Here is a 14,550-nt window from a genome sequence, read left to right as displayed (position 1 = left end):
CGGGGTTTCACCGTGTTAGCCAGGATGGTCTCGATCTCCTGACCTCATGATCCACCTGCCTCGGCCTCCCAAAGTGCTGGGATTACAGGCGTGGGCCACCGCGCCCAGCCCATACCTAGTAATTTCTTATTTTTATTGGACATTGTGTGAGAAAAGAACAATAGAAGTTCCAGATGATATACTCTTTCGCCAGCAAAGGTTCGTCCTTTCCTCTGTATAGGGTACAGAGCTCATGACCTCAGTCCAGGAAGGGACTGATCTGTGTTGAGCTTGGACTGTGGATTTATTTGGGTTCGGTTTACATCTGGTTCATCCCTATTCCTCAGGCATAGCTCTTCTGGGCTTTTGATTGAGAAGCTAGCCAGTCTCTGTCTCCTCAGACTGAAAGATTGTGAGAGATTTGGTTCTGCTCTTCGGAGGTATTTAAGCTTAGCTCTTTAGTTTCCCTTCTAGGCCCTCAACTTTTATATATGTATATATATTCCCCAATTTAAAACTTTTAAAAGTAAACTTTAATATCAAAAATGCAAACTTGGGGAGGGCATAAAAATCACACACAAGGCTGCCACTTCACACTTCGAGGGTTGCACAACGGCCGGGCAAAGGCGCTCCTCACTTTCCAGATGGGGCGGCAACCAGGTAGAGGCGCTCCTCACTTCCCAGAAGGTGCAGCGGCTGGGCAGAGGCGCTCCTCTCTTCCCAGACTGTGGGGCAGCCAGGGAGAGGTGCGCCTTACTTCCCAGACAGTGGGGCGGCAGGGCAGAGGGCCTCCTCACTTCCCAGAGGGGGCGACAGCCAGGCAGAGGTGCTCCTCACTTCCCAGGTGGTGGGGCGGCCGGGCAGAGGTGCTCCTCACTTCCCAGACGGTGGGGCGGCCGGGCAGAGGCGCTCCTCACTTCCCAGATGGTGGGGCGGCTGGGCAGAGGTGCTCCTTACTTCCCAGATGGCGTGGTGGCCGTGGGCCCTCAACTTTAAAATCTGGCAAGTACATTGAAGGTTATGCTGGCTGTATGTTTGAGGCAGGCTTCCTCTTCCTTCCCTGAGATTATGAAAGACTCACTCTGCCTTGTAGGAGTTGATGTTCTAGCTCCTCAGCCTCCTGTGTGAACACTCCCAGAACTCACTGCCTTATGGGAGACAGTGGCCACACTTGGGGCACCTCAAGTTTCTAACCTGTCATGTTACCCCCGTGCCACCACCATAAGCCTATTGGTTTCTCTTCCCATTTGTAGACTTTCTCTGCCTGGGCCCAGCCCTGTCCTCTTTCCTACCCAGAGCTGGCACACGTTCCCAGGGAAAAAAAGCAGCTGTGCATTGTCAGCTCACTTCAGAAAAATTTCCTTCCCCTGGAATTCCATGGCTCGCCAATATCTTTTTTAAATGTGATTTTTGTAATGTGTCTGTTTTTTTCTAGTTGTTGTAGCAGGGTCATTGGACCATGGTGACTTTCCACATCCTACTCAGATATGAAATCCTAGGGAGACTGTCTTGTTTCACTCCTCAGTTTACCTCAGATCTAGAGATAGGTTAGGTGTCTTCCTTGGCTCCCCATTTCCACTTCCAAACTATGTATCTTCCCTCCTTTTTCTAAAGTCTCAGCTTCTTTGTAGTTCATAACATCAGATTTAGCACTCACTGTCTTCATTATGTACCAATCTCTATGTTTTGTTGGTAGCATTAGCATCTGGCTCACCATCTTCCTTTTTCTCTACTCCTGTCATTGTTCTTGTGCCCGCAGTATTCACAGGGATGTTCCGTTCACATCCTTGACCTTTCTTCCAGTTATCTTTGCTTTCACCGTTCCTCAGTCATGTCCTTCTATGGTCATACTCTTAACCATTTTATCCTAAATTGCTGTACCATCTCTGAAATCTCCATTTCTTCATCCACTTATCTCTTAATTTCTTAGCTCACTCACATTGGAGCTTCTACACTAGCACTTCTTCAACTGACTCAAACCACCATTTCATTCAATTATCTTTGCACTGTCAAATATTACTCTTATGTCCTTATTTCTCTCTTTACCCATCTTAGATTCCTTGGTTCATCATTATTGTGGATGTCTATTACCTAAATGTCTTTACAACATTTAGTGATTTAAAATAACAGTATTCATTTTATTATTGCCTCTCACAGTTATGGGAGTTGACAGAATATTATTGCTTGAGATCCCTCATGCACTTACATGTCAGAGTGGCTGAGGTTAAAATCATCTTGAAGGCTTCCTTACCTACATGCCTGGCAGTTGATGCTGGCTGTCGATGAGGACCTCTCCTGAGACTGACAGGTAGAACATCTATGTGTAACATCTCCATGTAGCTTGAGCTTCCTCACAGCGTGGAGGCTGGGTCCCAAAACAGGTGTCCAAGAGACAGAGCCAAGTAAAATCTCCTTTTATAACCTAGCCCCAGAAGTTACTCAACATCACTTTCACTGTATTCTCTTCATTACAAGTGGATTATTAAGACTAATCCATATTCAAGAGGAGAGGAATTAAACCCCACCTCTTTATGTAAGAAATATCATTTGCAGACATGCTTTTAAAATGCCACCACACCATCATTATGATCACTTTCAAATACGATTATCTCCTTTACCTGTTTCTCCCTCTGTCCTATTGATGTGACAAACACCCATCCCTGGTAAAACTCAAATATCCAGCAGTCCGTGCTTACCCCTGAGCAACTGAACATTATTTAAAGGAAGAACACACAATTAAACTGAATTGTGTCACTTTAAATTCAATCCTCAGTTGTCAAATGGGCTCTCAATATCCATAGTCCTACATTTCCTAGTATTTTCAGTTTCTGACAATTCCATTACACCCACAGTGAAAGAGTAGACAAAAAAAAAAAAATTCTTGGGAGGCCGAGGCGGGCAGATCACCTGAGGTTTGGAGTTCAAGACCAGCCTGACCAACATGGAGAAAGATCACTAAAAATACAAAATTAGCTGGGCGTGGTGGCGCATGCCTTTAATCCCAGCTACTCGAGTGGCTGAGGCAGGGGAGTCTCTTGAACCCAGGAGGCGAAGGTTGCGGTGAGCTGCGATCACGCCATTGCACTCCAGCCTGGGCAATGAGAGCGAAACTCCATCTCAAAAAAAAAAAAAAAAATCCTCACAAAATTCTTCCACTGAATATTAAAAAATCAATTGCATTTCAATTCACTAGAACCAAAGTTTTAAACAGTAGCTTTTAAAAATTACATTCATAGGCTGGGCGCAGTGGCTCACGCCTGTAATCCCAGCGCTTTGGGAGGCTGAGGCGGGTGGATCATGAGGTCAGGAGCTTGACACCATCCTGGCTAACAAGGTAAAACCTCGTCTCTACTAAAAATACAAAAAAAATTAGCTGGGCGTGATGGCGGGCGCCTGTAGTCCCAGCTGCTCAGGAGGCTGAGGCAGGAGAATGGTGTGAACCCGGGAGGCAGAGCTTGCAGTGAGCCGAGATCGCACCGCTACATTCCAGCCTGGGCAACAGAGTAAGACTCTGTCTCAAAAAAAAAAAAAGAAATTACATTCATAATAGCCACAAAAAATATAAGGTTTCTTAGGACAAGATGTGAAAGACCTGTTTGGAGGAATTTGTAAAATTTTATTGAAAGATGTTTAAGGTGACCTAAAGAAATGAAGTACTCTGCTGTGTTTATGAATGGGAAAATAACAACATGTAATGTCTTCCCAGAAAATGTATAAATTCAATGCAATTTTAGTTAAAGTCTAAAATTTTTTTCCCCATAAAACTAGACAGCTGATTATAATACTGCAGAAATATTGAGGAGGAGAAAAGTAGCCCTTGACACCTAGAAGCTGGACTGGTGTCATGATCTAGACCTTGGCATTGCTTTGGGCTAGCATGTTGTTAAGCCTTGTCAGTGCTGGAGGGACCCTGGAGGGAGAGGGACTTCAGTTCCTGGTTCCTGTGTGCTTCCTCACTTCTTGTTCACATGACACAGCTTCCAGGAGCATGTGTGTGGTGCACCCAGTGGTGCCCACTCTTCAGCAAGTTTTGCTCACCAGCCTCAGCCCATTGGCACCCCAGCAGGGGGCGTCTGCTCACTAGTGTGAGCTGGTGGGGTCCTGTTCACCAAGCCTTGGACCATCATGGCTGAGAACTATCTCTGTCTCAGGGCAACCTAATGGACTTCCCCACTATACCTCAGCCACACTCCACATTCTCTGAATCTCAGCCTTGGGGAGGTGGCTGCCCTCCTTCCAAGGTTATTTCATCTTTGGGTACTCTGTCTGAGCCACAGGGTGTCCTTTAGTGTTCTCTTTTGCTCTTAGTAGTTACTCTCTTTTTACTAGTTAGTAATTCTTTGAATTGCATTCTTTATTAGAATCTCTTTATGAGATAGAATAAATTGTTCTTTATTCAAAACACGGGTGTGATTTCTGTCTCTTGACTGGACTCTGAGTGATACAGGAGGATTAACTGGAGAGGGACATGAGAACTTTCCGGAGAGTTGGAAAGAAACCACACCCGGGGTGTGGGTATTTTCATTATCAAAATTATACTAATAAGATTTATGCATTTGAAATAATATAAATTTTACCTTAAATTATAATTGAGAATAGGTAGAAATGGGTAGATATATAGATGATACAAAAATCACAGAATAATTATTGTTGAAACTGGGTGATAGGTACATAAGTGTTCCCTATACTACTGTTTCTAAATGTTTGAAATTTAAAAATCTAAAATGAAAGATAGTTATGGCTAGGCTTTTTTTTTCAGAATGTATGTTGCTAGGGATGGATGGAATGACAGATTTGATTTGGCTGTGTAGTCATTTTCTGTTTGTTTGGTGTGTCAATTATCTATTGCCATGTGACATGCAACCAGTTAAAGCACTTGGTGGCTTACAACAACAGGAATCACTTAGTTTGCTTAAAAATTTGAAATTTTGGCAAGGTTTTGCAGGGGGTGGAAGATCCACTTTTAAGATGATATCTTCTTTTGCATGCCTAGCAAGTTGGTGCTGGCTGTTGGCTGGGAGTTCAGCCAGGTCTGTGAACCAGTAGGCTTGGTTCCTCTTCATCTGGACCTGCCCATGGGCTGCTTAGACTTCCTCACAGTATGGTAGCTGATTTCTAAGACCAAACCTCCCCAGAGAGAACCAGGTAGAAGTTATACCATTATTTATGATCTAGATTTGGAAGTCAACATTATTTTCACTTAGATTCAAGGGGAGGGAACATGGAACCCATTTCATGATGGGAGGTATAACAAAGGCACATTGCAAAAAGAACATGGAGGATGGGAGATACTGTTATGGCCATTGTGGAAAATATAATCTGCCATACTTGGCTTGTTCATATAAGGGGAGTCAGATCAAGTTGGATCTCAAAGCAGTCTCTAAAAAGATATAGATCACAACAGCATCACTCAGTAAGTGGATCTCAATTACTGTAATTACCCCCTTTTCTTCTTCCTTTCCCATGTTCTCCAGGAGCAGATGTCTACTGGGCATTTACAAGTTGCCTACGTAGCATCTACTTCCCTCTTCCTAATATTTCCTACATTCTTATTCTATACGCTGTCTCTTCCCTCACCTAGCCCATTTGCTTCAAGAAAACTGTCTATCCCCATCTCTGGGGTTGGACCCCAACTGGCTTGCAACAACCGGTGCATTCAGTTTCCCTGGCCATAATGTTTGTAACGACAGGGAGGCAGAAGGTATAGGGTCATGGGGGAGGGCAATATGTAATCCAAGCTGATTTAGATCAGGATGCTGGTTGGATATACCCTCTCTGGATGTTGATGGGGAAGCACTTAGTCCTGGGAACATTGGCAATTACCTGTGTGGCCACAAGGAGAGAGAATTTTAGCATGAAGTGGATTCCACAAAAGGCCAGTTGGGGAAATGGAAAGAAACCAGGCCCTAGTGACATCAGTAAGCCACTGGGTTAAACCCACACTGAAGCTTCATCTACCTTTGAATTTCTTGTAGGAGCTAATAGAGTACGTATTAAGTTGAGTTTGTTACTTGAAACCTAAAGCATCTGAAGCAAGATGAGGGGATTATTTCTTATTTGTAAGACCTTCCTAGGCCCCACATGATGGCTCATGACTGTAATTCCAGCACTTTGGCAGTGTGAGGCAGGAGGATTCCTTGAGGCCAGGAGTTTGAAACTAGCCTGGGCAACATAGTGAGAGACTGTCTCTACAGAAAAAAAAAAAAAAAAAAAAAGCCTAAGTTTGATTCTAGGCTTCACCAATTGTTAACTGGGTGACTGAGAAAATTTCCAAATCTCTCTGCTTCAGTTTTCTTTATAGTAAGATTCCAGATGGATGTGATAGAGGGCTTTATTTTCTAGAGTGGGAGGAAGAGCCATTGTGAAAGAGAAAAGTAGAAAAAGAAAATAGCAAACTGTGTCCTCAGGCAGATCAGTTTAAGTAAAGAATACAGTAATCCCTCAGTATCCATGGGGGATTGGTTCCAAGACCTTCCTTGGAGACTGATGTTGGCTGATAAAAAGTGGCATAGCATTTGTATATAACCTATACACATCCTCTTCTATACTTTAAATCATCTTTAGATTACTTATATCTAATACAATGTAAATGCTATGTAAGTAGATGGTATACTGTTTCATTTAGGGAATAATGACAAGAGGAAACATTCTGTATGTGTTTAGTGCAGATAAAACTTTTTTTCAAATATTTTTGATCTGTGGTTGATTGAATCTATGGATGCAGGACCCATGGATATAGAAGGCCAACCTGCATAGGAAAGGTGAAGATCTGAAAGTGGACTCCGTTATACTATTCTTGCCCATGTAATCCTTCAAAAGTCTTTGTGGGCTCTTGGAGATTCACATGTCCAACTTAAAGACTACTGGATTCTATGTTCAATTCAAGTTAAACAAGTAACTTAATTTTTTGAACAGATGAGGCTCTTGACACCAGCCAGTCTTTTCTCCTGGGGAACAGCAAGAGTGGTCAGCTGAGGGGGATACACTAGGACATTCTATCAGCAAATATTTGCTGGGTCTCTACCACGTGCTAGTTGAAAACACCTCAATGGCTTCAACCACTTGGAGCTGTAACTCTGAGGCTGTCCCTAGCCTGAGCTTGTCTCCTGAGCTCTCTGAGCATTTATCCATTTGGGATGAGATTATACATTGATAATACCTTTTGGGAAAACAGTTTTGAGATATGTATGAAGATCTGTAATATATACCTTTTGATTCTATATTTTCATAGAAATCTATCTTGGAGAAATAGAGATGAAGATATTTACATTTCATCATTAAGATTCAGGAAAAATATATTTTAGAAATTCAGAGGTTTTTTTTTTTTTAAGTCACCTGAAGATAGGTAGAAATTGTAGGAAAACTAAGTATTGCCTTGCGATCCCTCACTCTCCTTGTATTCTTCATTTCTGTCTCTCAGAACTCTGAGATACTCTTTCCACCACTGTGGGAATTAGCTTAATGTGCCCTCTATTTTTGGATATACTCCTTCCCAAAGGCATTTGTGTTTTGAAAGAGATTATTAAGATAGGAACTCATATAATAAAGCCTTATTGGTAGACCTTCAGACAGTGGGTCATCCAGAAATAACATAGAAACCCTAGTTTCTCCCTCAATTTTCTACTAGGTAGAAGTCAGTACATTGTTTACAGACAAACAAGGACTGCCCCACAGGGACCAAAGATGAGCTAGATATTATGGTCTACAAAAACATTAAGCAGATACACCTAGTGATTGTATCTGAGAGGAAGAAAGTACTCTTCAAATGGTGAGCTCCAATTTCAGTTTAGCATTTAGGGAAGATGAAAAGAGTTTGCAAAACCAGATCTGCTCAGCAGAGGGAGTACTTAATCTACAAATTATGGTTTTAAAGCAAAGGTTTGTTTTTTTTTTTTTTTTTTTGGTAATTATGATTTTTCTGAGAAGTTTTTATGTTTTATGTTTCTTTCAAGATTAAGTTGCCAATCAGGTTTTTTTTTTTTTTTTTTTTGAGACGCAGTCTTGCTCTGTTGCCCAGGCTGGAGTGCAGTGGCGCGATCTCAGCTCACTGCAAGCTCCGCCTCCTGAATTCCTGCCATTCTCCTGCCTCAGCCTCCTGAGTAGCTGGGACTACCGGCGCCTGCCACCATGCTTGGCTAATTTTTTGTATTTTTAGTAGAGACGGGGTTTCACCGTGTTAGCCAGGACAGTCTCAATCTCCTGACTTCGTGATCTGCCTGTCTTGGCCTCCCAGGTGTTGGGATTACAGGCGTGAGCCACCGTGCTGGGCCAGGTATTTTTTTTTAAGAGACTAATTGCTGCACGTATTTGTCAGAGATGCAAGAATCAGAAATTGCTGATTCTTGAGCAAGGGACTGCCCTGCCCATTTAGGAGAGGAGGAGCTGGATACACTAACTCATTTTGCTGGACCTTGGGCAGGAAGGCTGTGGCTTCTCCAGAGGACAGTTACCTTTGCTGAATTCCCTCAGCCCAGCCAGGCAGTTTACACGTGTAGTTCCTGAGGTAAATCCACAGGACACTAAACAAAGAAAAGCACATGATTTATTAATTTTCCAATAACAATTTTCTTAGAGGGGATGAGACGGCTGGGACTGCTTCCCCTCTGGGACAGGCCCAGTCCGGCAGGTATCAGAGTCCTTTGTCTCACTCTTACCTCATAGAGCCTGCTGCTCCTCACCTGTCCTGTCCAGTCTGCTTTAAAAACCTTCAAGTCTAACAAAAAACAAAAAAGAAAAAAACAAAAAAAAAAAACCCTTCAAGTCTGGTCCTGAGGGGCATCTTCCTCTTCCTGGGGTCTCATCTGAATGTTGAAGCTAGTTGGCCTCTTTCAGTAATCTTCCGGAATATTCATTTATAGAGTTTCTAAAATAAAATTTTGACACCATCTATTTCAATGTTAAAAAGACATAAAAGCCCCTTTATTTTCAAAATTGTGACTTACTAACTTCCATAAATACAAATTAAGATATCTCCCAAAACAACAGCGTGCTACCTCCATCTCCGTCCCACAGGGGGATGGCAATCATTTGTGAGATACTGCTTTAGATATGTTTCAGAGGTTGGGGTAGGGGATAGGGAAATGGAAGGGACTTTGAACAATGTTTTTCTGTTTCTTCACCTGCTGAGGGTTCCCCAAGTATTTGATAATCACTTTTATCTCTGCACTTTTGGAGTAATTATTTTTTATATTATAATATTACTATTTCAGCCCTCAGCGTATTTCACTATGTTTATCTGAGTATCTAAAAAGCTAAGCAAGACTTGTTCTCTTAAGTGTCTTACATTTGTTTTTGTGTGTCCACCAAGGGTTATAATAGTTACTATCTTGCTATTTATATTTGAACTATTGGTCTATTCAGTTCTCTCCTAGCCATTTTCCCCTAAATGCTTTTGTCCTAACATCTTCTATTAGGTGTGGTTTAAGTCAGAGTCAGTCTCTGTCTTTCTCTCTCAGTCATCACACTGGACTTTGAGTGGTACAAGGGAATATTTTCAATTTATTTTCTCTATGTCCAAGTGTTTTCCTCTAATTAAGGTGATAATTAACAGTGGAATGGTTAAAAATAGTGATGGACCAGGCACAGTGGCTCATGCCTGTAATCCCAGCACTTTGGGAGGCTGAGAGGAAGGACGATCACTTAAGGCCAGGAGTTCAGGACTAGCCTGGGCAACAGAGTGAGACTCCATTTCAACAACAAAATTAAGTGAGTTTGGGGGCTCATGCCTGTAGTCCTAGCTCCTTGGGAGGCTGAGGTGGGAGGATTGCCTGAGCTCAAGAGCTTGAGGTTACACTGGGTTGATTGTGCTACTGCACTCCAGCCTGGGTTACAGAGCAAGACCTTGTCTCAAAAAAAAAAAAAAGTATATATATATATATATATATATATATATATATATATATATATAAAATATCTTGCTATCATTATCTGTTGAATGCCTATTTTGTGCTAGACACTATTCAAAGCAGTTTTTAATTTTCATGATAGCCCTATAGCGTATGAACCTTTATTATCCCCCTTTTTTAAGGAAACGGAAACAGACGTAATTTGTCAATGGTTGCATGGTAGAAGATTGCAGATCCCAGATTTAAACCAAGTGGACTCCACCCTTTGCATTATCTTGCTCTTTGAAAGATAGGTAGCAGGAGAAAGGAGTGGAAGCAACAGTCCTGGTTAAACCCATGTTTGTCCTCAGGACCCAGAACATCCTTCAGAATAGATGAGAAATATTGGGAACTGAGTGTAGGGAAGTAGAGCCAAAAGAAACTGAGGATTACGTAATTGCTTTGTGAATTTACAAGCTTGAGAGAGCTAATCCAATAATTAACTCATGGACTTTTTTGTCCTTGATTGTGTAAGTTTTTACTGAGAATATTATTAATAATAAGGCCCTGATTAATGTTTTTGAGAGTCAAACGTTAATCTTATGGGAATGTTTATTTTGCTTCTGCTTACAATAAAGACTAAGTTAATGGTTTTGTGATTTTTATTTTCATTGGGCAGGGAAAAAGCTATTGATTCATTAACTGCTGTCTTATTGGCATGTAGCTATGCGCTGTTCACTCATTAATACAAAAAATATCATGCTGTGCTATTTTGTCCAAGGGAAAAAGACAAACAGTGAGATTTCTTTCTTTATTATTATTTTTTGAGACAAGGTCTTTCTCTGCCACCCAGGCTGCAGTAGAGTGTTGTGATAATAACTCACTGCAGCCTTGAACTCCTGGGCTTAAGCAATCCTCCCACCTCCCACCTCCCACCTAGCAAGTAGCTAGGGCTACAGGCACACGCCACCATGCTCAGCTAATTTTTAAAACAATTTTTGTATTTTTTAGAGATGGGGTCTCACTGTATTGCCCCGGGTAGTCCTGAACTCCTGTCTTCAAGCAAACCTCCCACCTTGGTCTCATAAAGTGGTGGGATTATAGGCATGAACCACCACACCTGGCCAACAGTGAGATTTCCTATGTGAAAAGTGTGCATTTCAACTCTGCTAGTTCCATATGCCTTTATTAGCATTTCAGAGACTTATCCTCTCAACCTGACTTCTGCAGGATAGCTTTTCAGGAAAAGTAGTTTATTATAAGTGGAGCTTGGAAATATATATATAATCAATTTCTCACATACATTAACCAGATCTCAACTTTCTTAAAAATGTACCATAAAGCTGAACTTCATTTAGGCACTCATTCTCAGACATCAGTATGCATAGGAATCACCTGGGGAGCTTAGTAAAATGCAGGTTTCTAGGCCCTATTCTCAGAGACAAATTCATTCTCCAGGTGATTCTGATATAGATGTCCTCAGGGTGCCAGAATAAGATGGAGAAAAGGATGTAGAGTGAGGAATACAAAAACTCAGTACTCTGGAGACCCAGGCACAGAAGTGCTAGAGAGCAGATGGGCTTTTCACCAAGGATATTGAGGGAGCTGTGGGAAGTCTGATTGGCCTCCAGATAATAGATGGCTTCAGCCCTTTTTGTTAGGTCCCTGTAGGACCCACTCTTGCTGGCTCTTTAGGTAATAGATGACTGTCCAAATTCAGGTTGCAACTGTGGTGAGACCACTAATCTCCTGTGCAACTATAGTCTCTTGGTTTGGGGGAAAAGGAAGTCAGTCTGCAGGTGGCTGAGCACTTGTAAGCAGTTACTATGGGCTTGGTCTGAAGGCAGAGCTGGAGAGGGAGAGGGATCTAAATCTTACCTTTCTGCCATTCTCTAAAGGACTGAGCTTCCTGCTTGAAGGCTGTACACTAAGAAGAGGAGCATGGAGCCATTGCAAAGGGGGAGATTGTTATTATGCAGGGTCCAATTAGGAGAAATTACCCTTTTTAGTTTTGGAGGAACAGTATGAGAATTGCTGAGAGTCTAAGAAAAGACCCCAGGCCTAGATCTGCTGACACTTGGCCTATGGAGGTAGGGAGAACTGCTCTGTGTAACTCAAGTGATGGAATTATTTTATTCTGGAAATAGAGGATCAAGAGAAGAAGCCAGCAGGAGTGGGTCTGAAGCATCCCGACCACCCCCAACATGCACACTAGACCCCACCAGAAAACAGTGAACCACAAAGGGAAAGAGAAATGCCGATGGAGAATTCCAGGTGGTTTCTGTGGGAAGTGTGCTGCAGACCTTTTCATCTGTCTCAAATGGAGAAAACATCAGTAATTCTGTATATCTTGCAGACACTTTTAACAAGAAGTTTCTTCTTTTGGGGGGACCTCATAAGGAAAATGAGACAGCAGCAACTTTACGAGTTCCACATATGTGCTTTAAACAGTATCTTAGATCCAGCAAGTCCATTGTTTCCCACCTATGTGTACTAAGCTACAATTTTTCAAATGTATATACTCGGTAGATGTTGTGAATGATAAAATACAAATGTGTTTTTAAGAGTTCTTAAATTCACACATTTTAATGGTGGATTTTCTCAATCTCTTTTATGGTTGGGTCTAAGGAACTTTTTGGCAAAACAAAAACAAAACAAAACAAAACAACAGAACAAAACAACCCCCCCCAACCCCAATGAGTTTCTCATACTTTAAAAGGCTAGAAAACCCTGATGTAAAGCATCATAGTTATGTCTTCAGATTGGCTATAAAGAACTTACTCCTCAAGTAATGCAAACCCTCACGGTACAGTGACTTTATTGTATTGTTTATGATGGATTTTTAGAAAGAGGCAAGATAAACTGCATTTTTGTTTTACTTTAGCAGAATATTAACACTGAATAAATACAGAGGGGTATGTAAAAACACATTTACTTTAAAACTGTCACATTATTTGACTTTTTAACTGTATAAGAAAAAGTTTGCTGCTGCTAGAGTAAACAGACAACCCACAGAGTAGGCGAAAATCTATACATCCAACAAAGGACTAATATCCAGAATCTATAAAGAACTCAAACAAATTAGCAAGAAAAAAGCAATCCCATCAAAAAGTGGGCTAAGGACATGGATACACAGTCCTCAAAAGAAGATATACAGATGGCCAACAAACATGAAAAAATGCTCAACATCACTAATGATCAGGGAAATGCAAATCAAAACCACAATGTGATACCACCTTACTCCTGCAAGAATGGCCATAATCAAAAAATAAAAAAAAAAAATAGATGTTGGCGTGGATGCAGTGAAAAGGGAACACTTCTACACTGCTGGTGAAAATGTAAACTAGGCTGGGCATGGTGGATCATGCCTGTAATCCCAGCACTTTCAGAGGCTGAGGCAGGCGGATCACCTGAGGTCAGGAGTTCAAGACCAGCTTGGCCAACATGGTGAAACCCTGTCTCTACTACAAATAGAAAAATTAGCTAGGCGTGGTGGTGGATGCCTTAATCCCAACTACTCAGGAGGCTGAGACAGAAGAATCGCTTGAACCCAGGAGGTGGAGGTTGCAGTGAGCCGAGATAGCACCATTGCACTCCAACCTGGGCGACAAGAGCAAGACTCTGCTCAAAAAAAAAGTAAACTAGTAAACAGTGTGGAGAGTCCTTAAAGAACTAAACGTAGAACTACCATTTGATCAGTAGTGGGATAACAATCCCACTATTGGGTATCTACCCAGAGGAAAATAAGTTATTATATGAAAAAGATACTTGCACACACATCTATAACAGCACAATTCACAATTGCAAAAATATGGAACCAGCCCAAGTGTCCATCAATCAATGATTGAATAAAGAAATTGTGAGATATATATATCACATCATATATATATGATGCAATATGACTCAGCCATGAAAAGGAACTAATTAATGGCATTCACAGCAACCTGGATGGAACTGGAGACCATTATTCTAAGTGAAGTAACTCAGGAATGGAAAACCAAACATTATACGTTCTCACTCATAAATGGGAGCTAAACTATGAGGATGCAAAGACATAGAATGATACAATGGACTTTGGGGACTTGGGGGAAAGAGTGGGAGGGGTTTGAGGGATGAAAGACTACAAATTGGGTTCAGTGTACACTGCTCAGGTGATGGGTGCACCAAAATCTCACAAATCACCGCTAAAGAACTTACTCATGTAACCAAACACCACCTGTTCCCCAAAAACCTATGGAAATAAATAATTAAAAACCAAAAAAACCCAAAACAAATTGAACAATAAAAAGTTACGTGCTGCTTAGTAAAAACGTGAAAATTCAGAAACATTGATGCCATTTCCCTTTTTTCCCCTAGGCACTGTTATGTGGTATACTTGTTACATGTCCTGAGGATCCGCTGAGGTATTTAGAGGGAATGATCATGGTTATAATCAAAAGTGGTCTTCAGAATCTTCTTTGGTAAGTATTGTTTTGATTTTTGATAGGGAAATATTTTATTTTGAAGGAAAACTTTTATTGCATAGTAACAAAATAAGGTCTTGCCAATGAATGCTTCCAATCTCAAGATTGTTAAGGAATCCCTCCACAGGCTTTTCAGTTTCAAAGACGCAAACCTGAATAATTTGCCCACTAGATCTCAACCTGAGAAATACGGTGTATTCTTATCAGTAACGTGTTCATAGGGCCGGTTTATTTCAAGTTGGGAAAGAGGAAAGGGAGGCATATCCTCCTTTGGGGGACACAGC

At 41.4% G+C, this 14,550-nt stretch overlaps 1 protein-coding gene across 16 annotated transcripts in view, besides 1 other annotated feature; it reads left to right on the top strand.

Moving 5' to 3' along the window:
• FBXL13 (F-box and leucine rich repeat protein 13) overlaps positions 1–14,550 on the top strand; it is a 263,608-nt gene that overhangs the window by 4,890 nt on the left and 244,168 nt on the right. For 15 of the 16 annotated variants that reach the window (NR_105043.2, XR_927410.4, XM_017011850.3 and 12 more), the window contains exon 2: positions 14,160–14,263. Coding sequence is in view for 10 of the 16 variants with exons in the window: in XM_017011850.3 (XP_016867339.1) it covers positions 14,160–14,263 (104 nt within the window). In the remaining 6 variants the exon portion in view is untranslated. Of the gene's footprint in view, positions 1–14,159; positions 14,264–14,550 lie in introns of those variants that run through there. The other variant, XM_011515930.3, reaches the window with a different exon arrangement.
• Positions 3,911–4,205: a silencer, noted in NCBI's record as "tiled region #7515; K562 Repressive non-DNase unmatched - State 12:CtcfO". NCBI's record gives its function as "represses a minimal TATA promoter and a strong SV40 promoter by Sharpr-MPRA in K562 cells {active_cell/tissue: K562}" and the evidence as "EXISTENCE:reporter gene assay evidence [ECO:0000049][PMID:27701403]".

Source organism: Homo sapiens, chromosome 7 (genome assembly GCF_000001405.40).
Source record: "Homo sapiens chromosome 7, GRCh38.p14 Primary Assembly".
Taxonomy (NCBI): domain Eukaryota; kingdom Metazoa; phylum Chordata; class Mammalia; order Primates; family Hominidae; genus Homo; species Homo sapiens.
Note: the sequence above shows the minus strand (reverse complement) of the source record. Positions and strands in the feature narration are given on the sequence as shown.